Source organism: Homo sapiens, chromosome 22 (genome assembly GCF_000001405.40).
Source record: "Homo sapiens chromosome 22, GRCh38.p14 Primary Assembly".
Lineage (NCBI taxonomy): Eukaryota > Metazoa > Chordata > Mammalia > Primates > Hominidae > Homo > Homo sapiens.
This window is the reverse complement of record NC_000022.11, coordinates 27,929,953-27,955,933: the sequence shown is the minus strand read 5'-3', so window position 1 is coordinate 27,955,933 and position 25,981 is coordinate 27,929,953. Positions and strand designations below refer to the sequence as shown.

Genomic DNA, 25,981 nt, shown 5'->3' with positions numbered 1-25,981 from the left:
GCTTTTTCTATTCATTTGGATTTTCAAAATACCCATAAAATATTTGTGTTTAATCTGTTGCAATATGACCTAAGCAAGTGGTGAGATAAAGCATAGAAGGAGACAATATGCTGAGTAGGAGGTTAAAAACTGTATCATAATGTCAGGCCAACACTTAAGAGTGTTTATGAAAATAACCTTTGCTCCACGAGAATGTATGAGAGACTCAGAGAAGTAAATAACTGTGGTCAAAGAGGGGCATATTGCTGAAAGCAATTTAGTGAATATAATTGTGAATGGTTTTACAGATACTGTGACATTATAAACTAATGCTGCAGTAATTAATGTTATTTTGAGTATTTTAATTTTCAAATGCAAAGCCAAAATTCTAGTATTGAAAGTTTACAGCATGCTATGCTCTTGTTTGGGAAGAAAATATAAATTCTCCTGATGCTAATATACACATCTAAGGTAGTTTTATTTTAAAAAATAAGCTTCCAGGTCAGGCACGGTGGCTCACGCCTATAGTCCTAGCACTTTGGGAAGCCAAGGTGGGCAAATCGCCTGAGGTGAGGAGTTTGAGACCAGCCTGGCCAACATGGTGAAACCTCATCTCTACTAAAAATACAAAACAATTAGCCGGGCATGATGGTATGCGCCTATAGTCCCAGCTACTTGGGAGGCTGAGGCAAGAGAATCACTTGAATCCAGGAGGTGGAGGTTGCAGTGAGCCGAGATCGTGCCACTGTACTCTAGCCTGGGCAACAGAGTGAGACTCTGTCTCAAATAATAATAATAATAAGCTTCTGGATAGTACTGAGTTTTGTTTTGGAAGGTTTTATTGTTGCTGAACTAGATAGGGTGACTCTAAAGTTCATTTGGAAACACAAAATGTAGAAATATCTATAAAAACTCTCAAGGGGAAAAATAACTATAACAGGGGGATTAGTCATACCAAACAGTAAAAGCCTCAATTAAGAAAGCTGGTACTAGCACGTAATAGGCAGACCAATGAAATGAAAGAATAGAAACAGATTCTGATAAACAGAAAGTTAATATAGGGTAAAGATGGTATATCAAATCACTATTCTAGGATTTGGACAACTCACTACTTTAGAACAATAATAAAGGTGGATCTATATCTTACACTATACATCAAAATCTATTCCATATGAACCAAGAGTTCAATGTAAAAATAAAATAATAAAGACACTAGAAGGAAATGGAGCAAAGTTCTTTAATAACTTTAGGCTGGGAATGGCCTTTTTAACTGACCTCAAAATCCACAAACCATACAAGAAAAGATATTTAACATAAGAAAAATAAAAATAGGCTGGGTACAGTGGTACGTGCCTGTAATCTCAGCACTTTGGGAGGCCGAGGAAGGAGGATCCCCTGAGCCCAGGAGTTCGTGACCAACCTGGGCAACACGGTGAGACCTCATCTCTACAAAAAAATTAAAAAATTAGCTGGGTCTGGTAGCGTACACCTGTAGTTACAGCTACTTGGGAGGCTGAAGTGGGAGGATGGCTTGAGCCTGGGAGGTGGAGGTTCCAACAAGCTATGATCGTGTCACTGCACTCCAGCTTACACAACAGAGTGAGACCCTAACTCAAAAGAAAAAATACAGAAAAATAAAACACTCAACGATAACAAATGACAAAGTGGGAAAAATATTTGCAACTCATATCGCAAAGGACAAATCTTCCTAGTATATAGAACTGACCAAAGGTTAAAACTAAAATAAGATTTTGGTCAAAATCTAAAATCTTGATAAGATGTTGGCAATGCTGAGGGGAAATAGGCATTCTCAGACATCACCGGTTAACAGTGTAAATGGCTACAAACCCTGTTGATGGCAATCTGTCAATACCCTTCAAAATTACACATGTACCTTCCATTTTACTAGGCAATACTAATTCTTAGAATGTATCCTATAGATGTAGTATACATACACGAGATAATAAACATAATGATTCTGCCTTGCAGCATCGTTTGTAATAGAAAAAAAGTAAACAATCTTATATCCACTATAAGGTTAGTTACATAAAAAATTATGCACTCAGTGAAATATACTCTAGACCGTTAATTTTAAAAAAATCTTAACTCCCTACTGCCCTGAAAGAAAACCCACAGAGAGGCTGATTTTCATGTACTGATATGTAAAAATCTCTCAGATATCAGAAGTGAAGGAAACAAATCATGGAATGGTGTGTAGAGCAGGCATCTGCGTAAAAGGGGGAAGGGGAAGAATGTTCACTTCTACTTGCATGTATATGCATTAAACAAAATCTTGATAGCATACTCAACAACAATAGTAGTCTCTTTTGTGGGATGAGGTAGGACATAGACAGCAATAGAAGTAGGATAGACTAGAAAAAGAATAGATAGGCCAATGGATAAATGCATCTGTAATTTTGTTAGATATTGTGAAATTCCTCTAGATAAAGACTGTGACATTTTGCACATAAGCAAACTCAAAACACAACTGACAAAGTGGGAAAAATATTTGCCACTAATATCAAAAGGGACAGACCTCCCTAACAGATGTATATCTACCAGTAATGTATGATAGAGCCTCTTTCTCCACTGCATCTCCAACAGTGCCGTGAACTTTTCAATTTTTGCTAAGCTATATGTAAGAAATATCATAGTGTGGCTTTTGACTGTTTTAAAATTTAGGTTTATTTCCAATCAAACAGTGATAGAAAGAAAAAACTCGGGTTTACTGAGGTATAATTTACATACAATACATTCACCTTTTTGGGGTGTATAGTCCAACGAGTTTCAGTAAACACATATTCAAGTAACCACCACCACAGCCAAGACACAGAACATGTTCAGCAACCCATTTGCCTCATGTCCTGTCTCACTATTTCTGGTCCCTGTCAACCACTGATTTCTGGCCTATTGCCTTTTTCAGAATGTCATCTTTCACATAACATTATATTGGCATCAGCAATTGCTGAGTAGTATTTCACTGCATGATATCATAGTGTAGCTTTAATTTGAACTTCCTTATGAGTGGGATTGAGCAATTTTTCATATGTTCGAATGCCATTTGTCTCTTTCTGTGAACTGAATGTTCAAGTTTCTGAGTTTTTATCCTCACATTGTGAGAGCTCCTTGTATGTTACTGCACGTTACTGAGATTAAGAGTATTGTATGTTATTGTATGTTACTGAGATTATCTTCTTGTGACACAAATAAGTCAGGCACAGAAAGACAAATGGCAAATGCTTTACGTTTACTCCTTAAAGTATTTGGATACAAATGTTCTTTAATGTTTGTGTAGTCACATTAACCTTTTCTTTAATGTGTTAGATTGAGTCAGAGTTAGAAAGGCTTTTGATCTGGGCAATGGGTTTTTAGATAGGACCTCAAAAGCACAGGCAACAAAAGCAAAAATAAACAAGTGGGGTTACATTAAACTAAATAACTTCTGCACAGCAAATGAAACAATCAGCAGAGTGAAGAGACAAGCTATACGAGAAAACGTGTGCAAACCATACATCTGACAAGGAGTTAATATCAAAAAGTATATAAAGAACTCAATAGCAAGAAAACAACCCAATTTAAAAATGGGCAAAAGGCCAGGCACAGTGACTCACATTCATGCCTGTAATCCTAGCACTTTGGGAAGTTGAGATGAGAGGACTGATTGAGCCAGGAGTTCAACAACAGCATGGGCAACATAGCAAGACTACAAAACATTTTTTAAAAAGCCAGGCCTGGTACAGACCTGTGGTCCCAGCTACTTGGGAGCCTGAGGCAGGAGGATTACTTGAGCCTGGGAGGTTTAGGTTGCAGTGAGCTGTGATCACACCACTGCGCTCCAGCCCAAGTGACAGAGAGAGATCCTGTCTTTTAAAAAAATGGGCAAAGGACCTGAATAAAAAACATTTCTCAAAAGAAGACATACAAATGGCTAACAGGTATATTAAAAAATGCTCAGCATTATTAATCATCAGGGAAAAACAAATTAAAACTGCAATGAGCCATTACCTCACACCTGTTAGAATGGCTATTACTTAAAAGATGAACAATAAGTGCTGGAGAGGATGTGGAGAAAGGGGAACCCTTGCATACTGCTGGCAGGAATGTAAATTAGTACAGCCTTTATGGAAAACAGTACAGAGGTTCCACAAAAAAATTAAAAATGGAGCTACCATATGATCTAGCAATCCTATTACTGGGTATACATCCCAAGGAAGTGAAATCAGTATGTCAAAGAGTCATCTGCACTCCCATGCTCATTGTATCACTATTCACAACAGCCAAGATACGGAATCAACCTAAGTGTCTATCAATAGACAAAAATGGATAGAGAAAATGTGGTATATATACACAAAAGAATATTATTCAGCCATTTATGTGACAACGTCAGTGGAATAAGCTAGGCAGAAAAAGACAAATACTGCATGATATTACCAATATGTGGAATTAAAAAAAGTTAAACTCATAAAAGCAGAGAGTAAGATTATCAGGGGCTGGAGGTGTGGACTGGGGAGATGCTGGTCAAGTGATACAAAATTTCAGTTAGAAAGAATAAATTCAAGAGATCTAGTGTGCAACATGCTGAATGTAGTTAATAACAATGTATACTTGAATATTGCTAAAAGAGATTTTAAGTGTTCCCACCGCAAATAAATGATATGTGTTTTTTTAAGGTTTTTGACACTCCTTGGCTATAAAGGATTCTCCCATTTTTTTCCTTCTAGTTCTTATATGGTTTCATTTTTTATATTATCTCTCTGACCTCCTTGAATTTATTTTGGCATACAATATGAGGTTTACGTTCAATCTTTTTTCAAATTGCTATTCAGTGATCTCAATACTACTTATTAAAAGTCCATTTTCCTCCAGTGATTTGAGATGGCCATATCTATATGCCAAATTTCCATTAGTATGTGGTTAATTTTTGGAATTTCTATTCCGTTTTGTTGATTTGTCTGTAATGTGACATTACTCTCTTCTAGTTGTGGAGGCTTTTATAGTATGTCTTAACATCTGCTAGGGCTAGCCACACTTCACCCATTATTGTTGTTTTTCAGTGATTTCTTGGTTATTCTTCCTTATTTATACATGCCTTTATAATTAAGCTTTCTATCTCCTGGAAAAAAAAGGTGGTATTTTTACTGGGACTATGTTTATTTTTTAACATGGGGAGAAAATGACATTTTTTGTGGTAACGAAACATCCTTTTCAAGAACACTATCTTTCCATTTGTTCAAGTCTACATTTATGTATTTTTCAGGAATGGTACAAGGTTATTTTTATATAACTTTAAAGTACGTGCATTAACTCCATTCCTAGGTATTTCCTTCTATTAGTATTAAAAATGATAATTTATTTATTTAGTACTTAACTTACATACTTATCATTTATTTTTGGTGAGTAAAATCTACTATTTTAGCAATATTCAAGTATACATTGTTTTAAACTACAGCTACCATGTTGTACAACAGAGCTCTTGAGTTTATTCTAACTGAAATTGTATCTTCTAGGTACTCACTATATATACATGTAGGTTATAGATTTTTGTGTATTCATTTGAAGAAAACATACTTTCAATTGCACAATCTATAGTAGTTTGATCTCAAACTAGGTTAAAAATTGTTGGATTCAAAAGCATTTTACATTTCAGTTCAAAGCAAATTTAGAGATTTGGTCTTATTCTCTGTAGAAAGTATTCATATCACAAAATTCAGTCACACTAACTACATTCTATTAATAATTTTAGGAAGAGGCAAAGGCTAAAATAAACCTAAATGATAAAACTAGAAATTTTTTCTTCAAGGTGATCTTTTGAGGTTAAAATTAATGTAGGATAGAGGAGAACCTTTACATCAGTATCTGGAAAAAGAACTTTAGAAGCAAGCATGTTAATACTGTCACTTTGAAAATACATGAAAGGGACTTAAAATTAGTGGAAAAGAGCACTCAATGTTTCTTATATATGACTAAGCTACTAATAAGGATATGTGAATTAAGATCTGTCTTAAGGTAAACTGATGCGGGAAGCTTAAAGGTTATACAATCAACCTCAAAACATTTTCATCTATTAATATTAGTCTTGCTATAGACCAGTCACAGAAATAAAGACGTAGAAATCCAATGGAAAATATTAAAACACGTGAAAGGATAAAGAATACATGTCATAAGTTCATTGTTCATGTATACAATAGCAACACCTTTACTATGTATCCAGTTTTGTAAAATAGAACATATTTTCATTGGCTATGATTTTGTATAACCAATGACAAAAGATTACATAGTTTTTTCCTCTTCCCCCACCCTGTTTTTTGTTTAACGTAGTAGCTGTGCTATCAAGGTACACTGGTGTTGCAATACAGGCTTAATGATTATTTATTGACTGCCTCCTAACCACTTTGCGTAACTTAATGACAAATCTTTCAAATTTTTGACACTGTTTCAAAATAGCATATATCCTGGAACCTCTCAGTGCTACTCCTTAAGCTTATGAGAAGTGAATGTTAAGAAAAACTAGCAGAGAAACCAGAAAACTTTATTTATTATGAATGGCAAGGAAAGAACTTAAAAGTCACTGTACTACTCCAGTTTGCCAAAATATTCCCTCTAGCACCAAGTCTTATCTCTAACAGATAATATGTGAGAAGACTCTACACAAGTGAAAACAGAAAATGCAATTACATTTTATTGCAAGAAATTTGGAAAACGTATTTTTAACAAAGTTAGCTATTCAAAAGTGTTACCTTAGGCTGTCTCTTAATAGCTCCTTTTCACAAGTGTGAAATTTAATGAAGGCAACAGCATTTACAAGCAAGACCAAAATGGTATCTTAATTACTAGATGCATTTTCTTAGGCAACAAGAGATTAAATGGAAAGAGAAATTAGTTTTACAAATAGCATCATACATCTTTATGTTACACCCCCCTCCATCAAGTCACAGATGGTTATGTATTTTGAACTTCCTAATATTGTAGGCAATTTTCTTTTCCTTGGGCACACCCAAATCCATCACTACTCTAAACTATATATTATTTTAAAATCATTTACAAGGACTAAAGCTGTTTATCATAAATGATTTAACATTTACTGACCACATGAAATGGGCTTTTCTGGTATTCAGCTCTACATGGATATGAAACCTAAGACTTGTTGAAACGTACTGGCACTCTATATTTGCAGTGTTTGCATCACACAGTTTGGAGGAATACCTTGACTTGATCTAACTAACTCTAATACAGGGTTCCTGATCCAGTTACTACAGCCAAATCTAACAGCCAAAGCCCGGGGTAGTCATGGCTAATGTTACTGCTACCTGTCATGTAATTCACATGTTCAAATAGGGACCTGTGAGGACCACTGTCCTCATATGAGTATCTATAAAACTGCATGCATCAAAAAGAACCAAGTGACTTTGCTTCTAATCGTGGCTGAGTAGCCACTATCAGAATAATAATTCCACAAATAACAACTATAAACCCTTAATGAAATAGGAAAACAAAAAACGAAAAACAAAAACCAAAACTACCTAAAGGCACTGGAGAGCAATCAAAGGAGGAAGATTTTGCAGGAGAGGGGGCGGAGTCGAGCACTGGAATAAATTCCATTTTCTTCTTTGGGCAGACTCCAATCCATGCCATGCATAGATGTTAAAACTCAGTTTTAAAATCCATAGTTTGACTTTCTTGTCCCAGAGGACAGATTTCAGGGCAAACACAGTAGCTAGTTAGGAGGAAAATGCTATTAAGGTAAGAGTCAGAGTGGAGTATTCCCAAATTGTATTTGTAAACACTGAAGGGCTGTCTCCAAGTAGCCTAGGTAAGGCTAAATGAACTGAACTAAAGTTTCAGCTGCTGCCTACCATAGAGGAAATAAGAGGTTCCAGTTCCTCCAACCTAATGACTTAATTTTTTTTTTGAGACAGAGTTTCGCTCTTGTTGCCCAGGCTGGAGTGCAATGGCGCCATCTCGGCTCACCACAACCTCTGCCTCCCAGGTTCAAGCAACCCTCCTTCGTCAGCCTTTCAAGTAGCTGGGATTACAGGTATGTGCCACCATGCCCGGCTAATTTTGTGTTTTTAGTAGAGACGGCTGGTCTCGAACTCACGATCTCAGGTGATCCACCCACCTCGGCCTCACAAAGTGTTGGGATTACAGGCGTGAGCCACCATGCCCTGCCGACTTAATTTTTTTAAAACGGAAAAGTATCAGTACTCTTAGGAAGAAGATAACACAATCTAAAGTCTTTACAATGCTTCATTCAGAGTATCTAGGATACAATCCAAAAGTATGCCACATAAATAGATAACAGGGAAGTGTGAGCCATGCTCAAGAAACTTTGAATGGATACTTACCCTGGGAGGACCCCAGATGTTGAAATTAACATACAAGGAATTTAAGCAGCTAATACAACTATGTTCAAGGACATAAAAGAGAACATACTTATGAGGAAGGAAAAGATTTAAAAATCTCAGCAGAGAAATATGCACTATATAAAAAGACTAAATGGACATTTCAGATTAGAGAATTATAATATCTGAATAAAAAACCACTGGGTTGGTTTAGTGCAGTTTGAAGATAGACAATATGTGAACAAGAAGAGAGAGCAATAGAAATTAGCCAACTTCAGAAAGAAAAAAATACATCAAAAGATGAACAGAGCCTCAGGGACTTGATGCAACTATAAACAAAACAAAAACAAAAACAAAAAGTGTCACAAATCTGGAGTTCCAGAAAGAGAAGAGAAAGGGCAGTAGAAAAAAATATTTGAAGAAATGAATAATGGCCAAAAACTGACTGAGAATGGTGAACAACATAAACTTGTAAGCTCAGTGAACCCCAAGAAAGATAAATATAAAGAAAACTTTGCCTGGGCACATCATATGCCTGGACCAAGGTGATAAAGCAAGAATTAAAGAGAACAATCCTTAAAGCAGCTGGAGGAAACACACACACACACACACACACACACACACACACACACACACACACACACACACGCTCTCTCTCTCTAACATACGGGGAAGAATGGATGATTCAAAATGTCTTCAGATTTTTATCAGAAACAATAAAAGCCAGAAGACAATGAAACATCTTTAAAGTTCTATGGGAATTTAAAAAATTAAACCAGAATTTTACATCCAGTAAAAATATTCTCCAAGAGTTAAGGTAAAATAAAGATATTTTCAAATAAAAGAAAACCAAGAAAATTTATTGTCAGTAGACCTGCATTACAAGAAATGTTAAAGGAGGCTGGGCGCAGTGGCTCACCGCTGTAATCCCAGCACTTTGGGAGGCCGAGGCAGGTGGATCACGAGGTCAAGAGATCGAGACCATCCTCACCAACATGGTGAAACCCCATCTCTGCTAAAAATACAAAAATTAGCTGGGTGTGGTGGCATGCGCCTGTAGTCCCAGCTACTTGGGAGGCTGAGGCTGGAGAATCGCTTGAACCTGGGAGGTGGAGGTTGCAGTGAGCCAAGATCATGTCACTGCACTCCAGCCTGGTGACTGAGCGAGACCCTGTCTCAAAAATAAAAAAAAAAAAAAAAAGAGAAATGCTAAATGAAGGTCTTTAAGCAGAAAGCAGAGGATACTAGATAGAAACACAGAACTTCACAAAGAAATGAAGAGGACAATAAATGGTAAATACAAGGATAAATATAAAACATTATTACTTCCCACTAATTTCATTAGCATACTTATGACTATAAAAGCAAAAGTTATAACATTGTATAATGGGGGTTGAGCACATTTCTAGGTCTATTATTCCATTAAGGACAGGGGAATGGAATAAATGGGCCTGTATGGCTAAAAGTTTCTTATATTTCATGTGCTGTGATACATACATCTTAAGTCTAAGTAGATTATGAATAAGTTCATACATCTTAATTCCTAGAGCAACCACTTTAAAAAACACAGAAGAATAACAAGCAGAAACAGAAAAGCAGAAGAACAAAAAACAAAGGAGATAAACAATGATGACCAAAAAAGCAACTAAATAAAACTGTACCAATAATTCCATAAACTGTTAGTGGACTAAACACTCCAAAAGGCGGATATTTGTCAGAATCAATTTTTATTTTTAAAAAAGGCTGGGCATGGTGGCTCATGCCCGTAATCCCAATACTTTGGGAGACCTAGATGGGAGGATTGCTTGAGGCCAGGAGTTTGAGACCAGCCTGGGCAGCATAGTGAGACTCCATCTTTACAAAAAAAAAAAAAGTAAAAAGTAAAAATACTAGCTGGATGTGGTGGCTTGTGCCTGTAGTCCCAGCTATTCAAGAGGCTGAGGTGGGAGGATTGCTTGAGACCAGGAGTGGGAGGCTTATAGTGAGCTATATAACTGTGCCACTGCATTCCAGCCTGGGTGACACAGACTCCAACTCAAAAAAAAAAAAAAAAAAAAGAAAGACCCTATCCATCAAGATGATGTCTGTGAGAGATGCTCTTTAAATAAGGACAGGATGTAAATGAACAGAAAGGTTACTATTCAAAAGAACAAAAGTGTGAACGAGATGAATGAAGTAGCTATATTAAAATCAGATAATGAAGACCTCAGACAAAAAATGTTACCAGAGATAAAAACATTTCATAACAGGTTCAATGCATGAGGAAGATGTAGCAATCATAAATGTGTATATTGTAATAACAATTGGAAATTGAAATAAAATATCACTTACGATAGCATCCAAAATCATAAAATGCTAGGAACAAATATGTTTCAGACCTTTATAATAAAAAGTATAAAACACTGCCAAGAGATATCAAAGAAGACTTGACAATTGGAGATATGTTAGTGGATCGGAAATCTCAATATTGTGAAGAGGTCAATTCCCCCCAAATTAATTAACAGATTCAATGCAATCCCACTCAAAAGTCCAGCAGGATTGTTTTGTGGAAATTAACAAGCTCTAAAATGTATATAAAAATGGACAGCCAAATAATTTTGAAAAATAACCAAAAGAGAGGACTGATTTCAAGACTTATTATAAACTCTCCCCCTACCACCCCCTGCCAACCCCAGAGGGTCTCGCTCTGTCGCCCAGGCTGAAGTGCAGTGACAGGATCATGGTTCACTGCAGCTTTGACCTCCCAGGCTCAAGCAATCCTCCCATCTCAGCCTCCGGAGTACCTGGGATCACAGGTGTGTGCCATCACACCCAGCTAATCATTTTATTTTTCACAGAGATAGGGTCTCCCTACGTTGCCCAGGCTGGTCTTGAGCTCCTGGGCTTAAGCAATCATCATGCCTCGGGCTCCCAAAGTGCTGAGATTACAGGCCTGAGTGACTGCACCTGGCCAAGACTTACTATAAACTTAGAGTAAGCAAAGCTGTCTTCTTGGTTTAAGAATATATATATATATTCCACTAAACAACTGAATATGCCTATACAAAACAAAATGACCACATCCTTTACCTCAGATCACAGATAAAAATTAACTTGAAAGGGATTGAAGATCTAAATAAAACAAGTAAACTACAAAACTTCTAGAAGAAAACGTAAGAGAAAAATCCTTGCAACTCTGAGGTAGGAAAAGATTTCTTAGAAGACAAAAGACATGAACTATAACTAGATCTAATAAGATCTAAAAAACTGATAAACTGGAATTAATCAAAACTAAATTTTTTTCTTTAAAAAACACCATTAAGTAAACATATATCTAACAATAAACTCATATCCAGAATATATATATATATATATATTTTTTTTTTTTTTGAGACGGAGTCTTGCTCCGTAACCCAGGCTGGAGTGCAGTGGCACAATCTCGGCTCACTGCAAGCTCTGCTTCCCGGATTCATGCCATTCTCCTGCCTCAGCCTCCCCAGTAGCTGGGACTACAGGCGCCCGCCACTACACCCGGCTAATTTTTTGTGTTTTTAGTAGAGACGGTGTTTCACCGCGTTAGCCAGGATAGTCTCGATCTCCTGACCTCGTGATCCGCCCGCCTCGGCCTCCCAAAGTGCTGGGATTACAGGCATGAGCCACCGCGCCTAGCCTCCAGAATATATTTTTTAAAAAAACTCTTATAGCTCAATTCAAGAAGACAAATAACCCAATTTTAAAAATGAGAGATTTGCACATATGAAGATATATGAATGGCCAACAAGCACATTAGTCATCAGAGAAATTTAAATTAAAACCACAATGAGATACCATTACCCATCAAGCAAAATGGTTAAAGCTGGTAAGATTGAGAGCAGCAAAGTTGATGAGTTTTTATGGAGTAAACAGAACTCTCATACATTTCTAGTAGGAGCATAAAATGACACAACCACTTTTGAAAACTATTTGGCAGTTTCTTATTACCAGCAATTTCATATCTAGGTATATACAAGAGAAATGAGCACAAATGCCAATAAAAGACAAATAGCACGATTTGTAATAGTCAAAAACTGGAAACAACTCAAATGACTTTTATTTTTATTTTTTTGAGACAGGGTCTTGCTCTGTTGCCCAGGCTGGAGTGCACTGGTACAAACATAGCTCACTGCAGACTTGACCTCCTGGGCTCAAGCAATCCTTCTGCTTCAGCCTCCTGAGTAGCTGGGACTACAGAGGCATGCCACCACACCTGGCTAATTTTTAAATTTTTTGTAGAGATGAGTTCTCGCCATGTTGTCCAAGCAGGTCTCAAACTCCTGGGCTCAAGCAATCCGCCAGCCTAGGCCTCCGAAAGTGATGGGATAACACTTTACTGTTAAAAGTCATCTAAGGCCTGACACAGTGGCTCACACCTGTAATCCCAGCACTTTGGGAGGCTGAGGTGGGTGGGATTACCTGAAGTCAGGAGTTTGAGACCAGCCTGGCCAACATTTCAAACCCCGTCTCTACTAAAAATACAAAAAAGCTAGCCGGGCATGGTGGTGTGCACGTTATCCCAACTATTCGGGCAGCTAAGGCAGGAGAATGCCTTGAACTCGGGAGGAGGAGGTTGCAGTGAGCCAAGATCGTGCCACTGCACTCCAGCCTGCGTGACGGAGCAAGACTCCATCTCAAAAAAAAAAAAAAAAAAAAAAAAAGCCAAGCGTGGTGGCGGCTCATGCCTGTAATCCCAACACTTTGGGAGGCCGAGGCAGGTGGATCACCTGAGGTCAGGAGTTCAAGATCAGCCTGACCAACATGGAGAAACTCCGTCACTACTAAAAATACAAAAAAGCTAGCCGGGCATGGTGGTGTGCACGTTATCCCAGCTACTCGGGCAGCTAAGGCAGGAGAATGCCTTGAACTCGGGAGGAGGAGGTTGCAGTGAGCCAAGATCGTGCCACCGCACTCCAGCCTGCGTGACGGAGCAAGACTCCATCTCAAAAAAAAAAAAAAAGCGAAGCGTGGTGGCGGCTCATGCCTGTAATCCCAACACTTTGGGAGGCCGAGGCAGGTGGATCACCTGAGGTCAGGAGTTCAAGATCAGCCTGACCAACATGGAGAAACTCCGTCACTACTAAAAATACAAAATTAGCCAGGCGGGTGGTGCATGCCTATAATCCCAGCTACTCGGGAGGCTGAGGCAGGAGAATTGCTTGAATCTGGGAGGCAGAGGTTGCGGTGAGCCGAGATCACGCCATTGCACTGCAGTCTGGGCAACAAGAACGAAACTCCCTCTTGGAAAGAAAAAAAAAAAAGAAGTCATTTGAGGTCAGGCCACCACGCCTCATGGTGATAGTACCACATGGAATAGTAGTATATTCCAATAATGGGATGCTCGATAGCGATGAGAATGAATAAACTATTGCAGATGAATCTCATGTAGTGCTGAGCAGAAAAAAGCCAGTTGTTAAATGTTTACCTTAACATTCCATTTATGTAAGAGTGTAAAATAAGGAAAAACCAATCTACCATGTAATAAGATAAAACACTGATTAACTTTGGGTGGTAAATACTGGGAAGGCCTAAAAGAAGTAGATCTGGGGTTCTGATAATGCTTTATTTATTTATCGAGGTATGATTACATGAGTGCTTTTACTATTGGAAATGTACCAAGCATATAATTTTTGTGCTTTTCTGTATGCATGTTATATTTCTGTAAAAACTAGAGAGAGAAGATTGTATTGCCTACAAAGGACTAGGTATTAGATTATTTCAATGAGAGCCAGAAGACAGGACAACGGTATCTTAAACATGCCAAGAGAAAACAAATCTCAACTTAGAATTCTGTATCAAAGCACTTTTGTAAGAATAAGGACAAAATAGAGACATTTTCAGACAAAAAGATCCCATAATTTACCACCAAAAGCCTTTGGTGCAAACTCAAAAGTTTAAACCCATTAAACTTTTGAATACAAATTTCAAATAAAATTAACTAAGATGTAAGGGCTGAGATGTAAAAGGGAATGGTAAGCAAATCTAAATATTTATTGTATAAAACAGAAAATAAATGTCTAATTTGTTGTATGATACAACATCTCTGATACAGAGATGCCTGATTTCTAAGAGAAAAACAGGATGGGGCCAATATATAGTCCAGTATATTGTTCAAATTGTTGTTCAAGGTTAGAGCATTCTAAGGTCTTTGCATTGTTCATGAGGAGGGTAAAAATAATGTTTTTTAGACTAAGCATGCATGTGGTCAGGTGTGGTGGCTCATGCCTGTAATCTTACTGCTTTGGGAAGCCAAGGAGGGAGAACTGCTTGAAGCCAGGAGTTTAAGACCAGACAGGGCAACATAGAGAGATCCCATCTCTAAAAAATAAAATAAAAATAAAAAATTAGCCAGGCATGGTGGTGCATGCCTATAGTCCCAGCTACTCAGGAGGCCACTGCACTTCAACCTGGGTGACAAACAGATACCCCAACTCTAAAAATTACAAAAAGAAGGCCAGGTGTGGTGGCTTTAGTCTGTAATCCCAGCGCTTTGGGAGGCTGAGATGGGAGTATCACTTGAGGTCAGCAGTTTGAGACCAGCCTAGGTAACATAGTGAGACCCCATCTCAACAAAAATTTGTAGGCCGGATGTGGGGGCTCATGCCTGTAATTCCAGCACTTTGGGAGGCTGAGGTAGGCAAATTACTTAAGCTCAGGAGTTTGAGACCAGCCTGGGCAACATGTCAAACCCCATCTCTATGAAAAACAAAACAAACCAAAAAAAATGAAAAATTAGCTGGGCATGGTGGTGCCCGACTGTAGTCCTGGCTACGAGGGAAGCTGAAGTGGGAGGATCACCTGAGCCCAGGAGGTTGAGGCTGCAGTGAGCCATGATTGTGCCACTGCACTCCAGCCTGGGTGACAGAGTGAGACCCTGTCTCAAAAAAAAAAAAAAAAAAAAAGGAAAGGAGAGGAAAAGAAAGAGAGAGAGAAAGAGAAAGAAAGAGAGAAAGACAGACAGACTGGCTGGCTGCTAAAACTAGTATAATAATTGAAAAAAATACACAAAAGCATATGAATTCTAACAAAATAGATAAGCAAAACTGAGTAAGTGGGGTGGGGGAAGAACTCTTAAACCAAAAAGATAACACGGGGGAACAAAAGGAATATGTGGAGTGAATATAAACTTGTATTACATTTCTACAATTTCTACAATACTGCATGTATTAATTGTAGAAATAAGCCCACAATAAATGAAAGACAATCAATTAAAAGAATATCAGAATGTATTAAAAAAGCCTAGAAAGTCAATGTTAACCATACAATCTGCCTATAACCTGTTAACAGGAGCCACACTTAGAACATAAGGTAAAGTTGAAAGTTAGTAATACCTATAGAAGAAATTATATGATGTTTTGAATTTGCGTTAAAATACCCCCCAGAAGAAATAAACTAGGAGGGAGAATAAATGAGAATGCCAAATTCATACCTGTTAAAGATAGATGATGGACACACGGGAATTCATTACACTCTTCTAGTTTTGCATATGGTAACATTGTTTTTATAATAAACGAGTTTAAAAAGGCGAAGAAAAAAGATATCCCAGGAGAATTCTGACCCAAAATAACTTGGTACAGCTCCCTGAATATCAGACATAAGACAAAAACATATCTTGAGAGGCATGGCATCTAAGATCAATTAACCTGAAACATATGAAAGTTCTACTTTTTACACACTAATAGCACAGTCTTGAAAATATATGGCAAAAAAATAGAACAAGAATAAAAACCACATGAGTCACTGTACTGAGAAATTTTAACACATCTCTTTCAGTTACTGTTGTATCAAGTATATACACACACAAAATCACTAAGAAGGTAGAGTATTCAAACACAATAAACTTGACCTAGCAGTTATAGATGGAGTACTGCATTCAAAAATGAGAGAAAACAGATTTTTTCAAAAATAGGAATATTTATAAAAATATCACAGAGAACCTGGAAAAAATTGATATATGTCAAGTTAGTATATTATGTCAGAGGATAGACTGTTCAATAAGTAGTGCTAAGACTATTTGTTATATGTGTGGGGGAAAAAACACAAAAAGTAAATCCAGATAAAGACCCAAATATAAAATGTGAAACTTAAAACTTTTAGAATATGGAATATCTTTATGACCTCAGGACAGAGACATGTGTTACTTTTGTTTGCTTTTGAGAGTCTTGCTCTGTCACCCAGGCTGGAGTGCAGTGGCGTGATCTCGGCTCACTGCACCCTCTGCCTCCTGGGTTCAAATGACTCTTGGGCCTCAGCCTCCCAAGTAGCTGGGATTACAGGCACGCACCATGATGCCTGGCTAATTTTTATATTTTTAGTAGAGATGGGGTTTCGCCATTTTGGCCAGGGAGGTCTCAAACTCCTGGCCTCAAGCAATCTGCCTGCCTTGGCCTCCCAAAGTACTGGGATTACAGGTGTGAGCCACCACGCCCAGCCAGGGACATGTATTAATTTTGAAATGATAGCTTAATCTAAAATAATTCAGGATTGTGAAACTTGCAGGAGGGGGAAGGAAATGGGAGAGAGAGATGCAATCAGGTAGGTAAGCATGGGGGCTTCACTTTTACTGGAAATGTTTTATTTCTTAGCTATAATGCATACAGATGTTCATTATATTAGTCTTTTACCTCTTATGTCAGAAGTACTTCCTCCTCCCCACCCCCAAAACAGGGTCTTGCTCTGTCACCTGGCCTGGAGTGCAGTGGTGCGATCATTGCTCACTGCAGTCTCCTACTCCTGGGCAAACGTGACCCTCCTGCCTCAACCTCTTCAGTAGCTGGATTACAGGTGTGTGCTACCATGACCAGCTAATTTTATTCTTATTTTTTGTAGAGACAGGGTCTCACTATGTTGGCCAGGCTGGCCTTGAAGTCCTGGCTTCAAGCAACTCTTCCACCGTGGCCTCCCAAAGTGTTGGAATTACAGGCATGAGCCACTGTGTGGGGCCAGAATTCTTAAATGTGAATAAAAAGAGACAGAACAAACACTCATCTCTACTACTGCAATATATGACAACAGTTCATTCATGAGATTAAGGATTAGGGTGAAATGGATTAGATGGTATCCATGCAAACAGAAAAGAAAGGTATATGAGAAACTCAACAAAGAAAATCCTAGTTAGAGGGAAGAGGAAGTGGGAGTAATTAACATCTCTTCAGATATGGAAAATACACCAGACATGGTGGCTCACACCTCTAATCCTAGCACTTTGGGAGGCCGAGGCCGGCAGATCACCTAAGGCCAGGAGTTTGAGACTGGCCTGGCCAACATGGTGAAACCCCATCTCTACTAAAAACACAAAAATTAGCTTGGTGTGGTGGCACACATCTGTAGTCTCAGCTACCTGGGAGGCTGAGGCAGGAGAATCGCTTGAACCTGGGATTCAGTGACCCTGTTGCAGTGACCCTGTCTCCAAAAAAAAAAATAAATAAATAAAAAGATATGGAACATAAGACAATGAGTAGAAAACTAGCTTTTGTATGGTGCCTATATATGCTATATGTGCGGTTTTTTTTTTTTTTTTTGAGACAAGGTCTCACTCTGTCACCCAGGCTGGAGTGCAGTGGCATTATCTAGGCTCACTGCAATCTCTGCCTCCCGGGTTCAAGCAATTTCTCGTGCCTCAGCCTCCCAAGTAGCTGGGACTACAGGCATGTGCCACCACACCTGGCTAATTTTGTTTGCATTTTTTAGTAGAGATGGGGTTTCACCATGTTGACTAGGCTAGTCTCAAACTCCTGCCCTCAAGTGATCCACCCGCCTTGGCCTCCCAAGGTAATGGGAATATGCTTTAAATAATTTAATCTTTAAAGTATATATTATTACTATATCAAAGATAGGTCTCAGATACTATAAATGGTGCAGCCAGTTTTCCTGGCTCCAAAGCCAATATTCTTCCCAGTACTGTGTAACATGTGGGTATTAATAGACATAGCCAAGAGGGGGAGCTGGTACAGATGCATATATGAGGATGATCACCAGTCTTTAAAAGATGTGTACATACAACAAAAATGACATGGTCTTTGAGTCCAGTCCAGGTAAGCCTGACCTAGATCTAGCCACAGAAGCAGCATCAACCATACAGCCACAAGATCACGGAGGTTATTCATCTCAGCATAGTCCTCCAGGAAAAATAAAAATAAAAAACCATCTCAAGCTTCTATTCTCTAAGCATCACTTGTCCCTCTTTGTAAAGTACTACCTGAATCTCACAATACTGCCACATTCTACCATAAAATATGAGATGTGGAAAATTCAACATCCATTTCAAAAATAAATAAAAATTTCCTTCAACACATACTGAGTGATCTGCATCCTTTGTGGATTAAAGTGTCATCAGCACCTAGAATACACGAGGGCTTCTATAAATGTTTCCTGAATGAAAAAAAGAAAACCTAAATGCATGGATGTAAAACATTACAGCTGATCTCTCTGCCTTCACTCCAGCTTGCTAAGATCCCTCAGGCTATTTATTCTAAGTGGCACTGCTCTTCCAAGTTGGGAAAACCTAAAGCGATTATTTCCTACACCCTTTACAGCTTTAAAACTTCTATGATTTTAAGTTAGTATGTCTCAAAGCACACAAATAAATAATTTAGCTACAAAAATTCTGGTCCTTTAAATTATGGAAAATAATGAAGCTGAGCGTTTATAGAATTTTGTGGAAGAGAACTGTAAGGAGGATGGGGAATGGAGAAATCCAAGATTGTGGTTCTTTAGAAGGGACTAGGATTCTCAGTGTTGGGGAAAGAAGGTGAAGATATAAAAGAGGTTGAGTAAAAAACTATGAGGTCTTAGACTTCAGTTAGAAGTCAGTATAAAGTCATAAGGTACTTCATCTTTAAAAAGGCTATTTTTGTATACTTTATAATTTTTATGCTTAGTCTATTTGTACATAATACCTATTTATAACAAAATATGTTAAGTCACATATTTAGATGATACATAAATTTTATAGTTGACTCTTAGACAACTCTAGGAATAGGGGTGCCAGCCCCTGTGCAGTCAAAAATCCATTTGTTAATATTACTTTTGACTCTCTGCAAACTTAGCTATTAACAGCCTACTGCTGACCAGAATCCTTACTGATAACTAACATATATTTTACTGTATTCTTATGCTGTATTATGTACTGTATTCTTACAATAAAGTTAGGCACAGAAAATATTAGTAATGTATTTACTGATACCATGTTTATGTCACAAAATGAAGTATATGTCTGAAATGGTGGGCAACTACAGTTGCAGAGCTCAATCTACAGTACACATCAAGCAATACACCTTTTTCTTATAATGTCATGACTTTTTCCTGCTTCTTGGGAACCCTTCCAGCATCACTAGTGGTACTTTGCAATGTGTTACTCAAAGTTTACAGTATTACACCAAATACAATAAAAAAAATACTAGAGAACCACAAGGCATAACTTTTTACTATGATATGCAATTTACCGGGACACACTGCTCACATGGAGATGATTAGCATTACATTTTAAAGATACAACACTTGAGCTCACACCAATAAAGATAAGAGGTAGCTACAAAATTGTTACAGTAGCACAGTATGTACTACAGCTAACTTTAGGCAGTTATGATTTATTACTGCATCTTTGTTTACATTTCTCTCAACTGCAAATGGCATCATGTATGATCTGTGTTTGTGTGTATAAATTTCAATACATGTTAGCTTTCTATGATAGATTTGTGTATATCTTATGGCAGTAATGATACAATGGACTAATATCCACATTTTATGCATTATGACGTACTAAACTTCTTAATTTTTTCAATATTTCTAGACTACACAGTCTGCAAGTTTTTTTTTTTTTTGAGACGGAGTTTTGCTCTGTTGCCCAGGCTGGAGTGCAGTGGTGTGATCTCGGCTCACTGCAAGCTCCGCCTCCCAGGTTCACGCCATTCTCCTGCCTCAGCCTCCCAAGTAGCTGGGACCACAGGCGTGTGCCACCACACCTAATTTTTTTGTATTTTTAGTAGAGATGGGGTTTCACCATGTTAGCCAGGATGGTCTCGATCTCCTGACCTCGTGATCCACCTGCCTCGGCCCCCCAGAGTGCTGGGATTACAGGCGTGAGCCACCACGCCCGGCCAAGTGTTTTTTTTTTTTAAATCATTGTGAATCTCCAAAAAATTTTCCAATATATTTATTGAAAAAAAATCCATGTATAAGTGGATCTGTGCAGTTCAAATCCATGTTGCTCAAGGGTCAACTGTATGCACATAATACATTAAGTGTTCCTGTCATATTTATATAATCGATATCCCTATGCATTATCTATATATTTAAGTGTACAAAATTTTTTCGCCCTAGCAACTAAAAAGGCCAAAAAACGATTACAAATCCAGAAGCCATGACTTACCTTACATAAGACTGTGCTCTTGAAGTACTATTTGCCAGTAAAAGAAACCCAACTTTCTTGGTAAAATGGCTGATTCCAGTCTGGAACGGCAGAAAATATATGAGATAAGCTTTTGTGCTAGATCTTGTTATACCAATGAAGCTGTCAAAGACTACTTACCAGGAACACATCAGCAGGATTCAGGAGACAATTTGAAGGGATTCAACTGGCCAAAGATAGAACATTCTGAGCAATAAGAGCAGTAAGTGAAATTGACATCGGTATTTCAGATTTGTTTAAGTCCACATTAAGAAACAGTAACTGATCACCTTTTGAGGATAACAGGAAACATTTGCATTTGAGAACTGGTAAATAATGGGACAAAAATCAAGGGTCTATTCTGCCTTTCTTATATAAATTGCACTAGTAAATGACCAGCTTCTCTTTGCAGAAATATTCCAGCCAATAAATTAAGAAATGATTAGGAATGTCACCATTTTCCAGTCCATAATAAATTAATGGAGCTAAGGATTTAGCAGTAATGGTTGCTATCACCACAAAGAGACAATATATATGTGTTGTTCTTTTTTTAATTTTCCCATTGTCTTGGCTATATATATGTGTTTTCACAGAACACATTACCACCTAAGAAGTAAGTTTACCAAAAATATTCCAACTGGACCTAGTCAAGCCTGTAGATGTGTATTAGTCTGTTTTCAGGATGCTGATAAGGACATACCTGACACTGGGCAATTTACAAAACAAAGAGGTTTAATGGACTTACAACTCCACATGGCTGGGGAGGCCTCACAATCATGGCGGAAAGCGAAAGGGACTTCTTACATGGTGGCGGCAAGAGAAGAGAGCTCATGTAGGGTAACTCCCCCTTATAAAACCATTGTATCTCATGAGACTCACTATCAGGAGAACAGCACGAGAAAGACCTACCCCCATGATTCAATTATCTCCCACCAGGTCCCTCCCACAACACGTGGGAATTTAAGATGAGATTTTAGTTGGGACACAGCCAAACCATAATAAGATCTAACAGCAGCAAAATCCAGAGTGCAGAGAATTCTATCAAACAATTCAATTTCCTCAACAAGTTGTATGGTAGGTGGGAGAGTGGGGTGAAAGAACAGGTTTACATGTAGGTTAAAAGAAACAAAAAAGAAACTATAGAGTTTAGGAGCTACACAGTAGGGTGATCAAAAGCATGAAGGAAGTGATTCCCATGAAAGTCAAGAAGGCAGTTACTTTTTGAGACAGAGTCTCACTCTGCCACCCAGGCTGGAGTGCAGTGGCCGCCATCACTGCTTACTGCAGCCTGGACCTCCTGGGCTCAAGCCATCCTCCTGTCTCAGGTGCCTGATACTACAGGCATATGCCACCACACCCAGATAATTTTTTTTTATTTTTTTGTAGAGATGGGGTCCCACTATGTTGCCCAGGCTAGTCTTGAACTTCTGGGCTCAAGTGATCCTCCCTCTTTGGCCTCCCAAAGTTCCGGGATTACAGACATGAGCTACCATGCCTGGCTAGGCAGTTACTTTTAGAGAAGAGGGAATTGTGACTAGAACAGAGTACATGAAGGACTTATGGAAAGACTGGCAAAGGTCTATTTCTTGACCTGGTGGAGGTAACAACTATTGATCTCCCTACAGTAACTAATTTGTTTTATGTAACTTTTTTGTATTTGTACAGTAAGAAAATATTTTAAATGGTCAATTTTCAAGGCATGATAAATCTAAGTATTGGCAGCTAGCCTGCAAATGTGACAAAATGCCTGGCTAATGCACCTAGGTCACAATAAGCAAACAGAATGTAGAGGAGGGTTCAGCCCGTAAAAGGAAAGAAAGTTTCGTTATCAGGAAATCGAAACTTAAGCAGGGAAAGGGACGGGATATAACCTTATAAGGGGGATAATGAAACTTAGGCAACGTCTTGGAAGATTGTAACCCCATAGTACTCAACCAATGCAGAACTCGTGGAGGGACTTGTGTGCTAGGAGATAAATTACCTGTTGTGACTTCCCTGGATGTACCTGCTCAGACACCCGACCTTGCAAGATCGTTATTAAAGTCTCACTTTCGCTGTTCTTCGTGCCTCTAAGTCCATTCTTCGGGTTTGGATGGGTGAGTGTGTTTCTTACAGTACTATATCATACAACCAAAAGGTTTTAAGCAATGTTTGAAAATACGATGTTGAAGAGTTTGGGGAAATGGGTACTCTCATACATTGTGTGTGGAAGTGTATACTGGTACAGTTTAAAGGAAAACTAGACAAAATATGTAAAAACTGCAATATGTTAAACTTACCCTTTAACAATTCCACTTTCAGAAATTTCTCTTATAGTTACACTTATACATTACATGAAATGATCTATGTAAACGAGTATTTACTGCAGGACTCTGATAATAGCAACTATTGAATATAGCCTAAGTGGGTACCAACAGGAGACAATTTAAATCACACTGCATATACACAACAGAATGCCCAGAAATACACTCTTGCCTGTATGGTCAAATAATTTTTATCTAATACCATTCAATGAGGAAAAGACAGAATTTTCAACAAATGGCATTGGGAAAACTGGATATCCACAGGTGAAAAATGAAGCTGGATCCTTACCTAATACCCTATACAAAAATTAAGTTAAAATGAGACAGGCACCATGACTCATGCCTATAATTCCAGTGCTTTGGGAGGCTGACATGGGAGAATTGCTTGAGGCCAGGAGTTCAAGGCAATACTGGGCAATACAAGATCCTGGCTCTACAAAAAGCAAACAAAACAAACAAAACAACAACAAAAACAATTAACTGGGTATAGTGGCAAACGCCTGTAGTCCCAAATACAGTCCCAGCTATTTTGGAGGCTGAGGCAAGAGGATCACTTTAGTCCAGGAGTTCAAATTACAGTGAGCTATAATTGCACCACTATACTCCAGCCTGGGTGACAGGGTGAGACCCCATCTCTTAAAAAAAAACAAACAAAACGGCCAGGTGTGGTGGCTCACGCTTGTAATCCCAGCACTTTGGGAGGCTGAGGCGGGTGGATCACGAGGTCAGGAGATCAATACCATCCCGGCTAACATGGTGAAACCCCGTCTCTCCTAAAAATAAAAAAAAATTAGCCAGGCATGGTGGCACACACTTGTAGTCCCAGCTACTCGGGAGGCTGAGCCAGGAGAATTGCTTGAACCTGGGAGGCGGAGGTTGCAGTGAGCCAAGATTGCGCCACTGCACTCCAGCCTGGGTGACAGAGCAAGACTCCGTCTCAAAAAAAAAACAAAAACAAACAAAAAAACAAACAAAACCTGAAATGTATAATTGCCTACATGTGTGACGACGCTGGATTTGGCAATAACTTATTGGATATGATGCCAAAGGCACAGGCAATGAAACAAAAAAGAAACATACTGGATTTTATAAAATTTAAAAACTACAATACAGTAAAAATGCAACAGAATGGCAGAAAATATTTATAATATATCTGATAAGGGAACAATATCCAGAATAGAGAATTCCACAATTAAAAAAAAAACTTGACTAAAAATGGGCAAAGGTCTTGAATGCACATTTCTCCAAAGATAAGCAAATGGCCAAAAAGCAATGAAAAGATGCTCAATATCACTGTTCATTTCAGAAATGCAAATCAAAACTATGAGAGATGCTACCTCACAACCACTGGTATGGCTACTATCAAAAAAACAGAAATAAGTGTTGGCAAGGATGTGGAGTAATCCATACCCCCATCATGCTGGTGGGAATGTAAAATGGCAACAGCCACTGGGGAAAACAGTACGGCAATTCCTCAAAAAATTAAAAATAGAATTACCTTATGATTCAGCAATTCTCCTTCCAGATATATACCCCAAAATTGAAATCAGGGTCTCAGAGAGATATTTGTGCACCCATGTTTATGGCAGCATTATTTGTAATTGGTAATATGTGGAAGCAGGCTAAGTGTCCATCCACGTGTGAGTGGATAAGCAAAATGTGGTATATTCACACAATGGAATCGTACTCAAACTTAGAAAGGAAAGATATTCTGCAAAACACTACAAAATGGGTGACCCTTGAGGACATCATGCTAAGTGAAATGAGCCAGTCACAAAAAGACAAATGCTGTGATTCTACTTATAATGGGGAATTATTGTTAATGGGCACAAAATTTGTTTTACAAGATGAAAAGAATTCTGGAGATGGATGGTAACAGTTGCACAATATGATGAATGTATTTAAAACCACTGAATTGTACACTTAAAAATCACTAAGATGATAAGTTATATGTTATGTGTATTTTACCACAATAAAAAGAAGGGCAGGGGGATAAAGCTGCCTTTACATATCAATACAGCATGCTCTTGGTGCTGAACTGTGCTGGGTTAGTAAAGTTAAGCTTGGAACTGTTTTCCAGAATCCCCTTCCTTGTATGGCTCTGAGTAAGATTTGGCCAAGAGGAATTTGCACAAGATTTTAGAAGGCAGGAACAATGCAACAGACGTGACTCAATGAAGATTTCAGGATTAGGATAGTGATGGACACTCACAAAGGTATGTGGAAAGCTTTAGGTTGTCCCCACTCTCCTCCATTTCACATCCCGCTCTTCCTGAAAGCATACTATCCTTTCTGCAATCTCACCTCAGCAGCTGGATGTGACTGTTTCCCAGATTTCCCTAACAAGCTCTGACTTGTTCACCACACTAATCCTTCAGAAAGCCTGGTTAGTGACTCCTCTCATTCTCCACCTTTCCCTTCTGGACCTTCATTTCTTCAGCAACTCCAACTGAGTAAAGGCCAATTCATTTGATGAATGCCATATGTCTTAACACACATAGTAGCTCCACTTCTCTGACTGAACCTTGTCTCATACATTCCTCAAGATCAAGAAAAACTGCAGGATGCAGAATAGCGTGTATACTGCAATTCATGTTCTTTTTTTTTTTAAAGAGGGACAAAGAAAATAAATATATTTGCTTATATATGCAAAATCTCCAGGACAAAAAAACTGGTAATATTGGTTTCTGGAGGTGTCGAGATAGGAATGGAAGAGGGGTATCACTGTATACATTCCTTTATACAATTTGAATTATGAAATGTGATTGTCTTATCTACTCAAAAATAAGTGCTTTAAGAAGACTTCTCAAATAAAATTAGTGATATATCTTACATAGGCCATCTTCATTTTAAGCCAGCTAATAAGCCATTCATCTATTATTTGAAATTAAAATCAGTACTATTCATAAATCTGTCTCAGCTTCATCATTTTAATTTCCTGAACTATTGAGCAAACC

General features: G+C 38.3%; 1 long non-coding RNA gene across 1 annotated transcript in view; it reads right to left on the bottom strand.

Annotated features, from left to right (window-relative positions):
• Window positions 1-25,981, bottom strand: part of TTC28-AS1 (TTC28 antisense RNA 1) — an 83,304-nt gene that overhangs the window by 46,746 nt on the left and 10,577 nt on the right. Inside the window, exon 2 of the long non-coding RNA NR_026963.1 lies at window positions 20,704-20,783. This is a non-coding gene — a long non-coding RNA (TTC28 antisense RNA 1). The remainder of the gene's footprint in view (window positions 1-20,703; window positions 20,784-25,981) is intronic.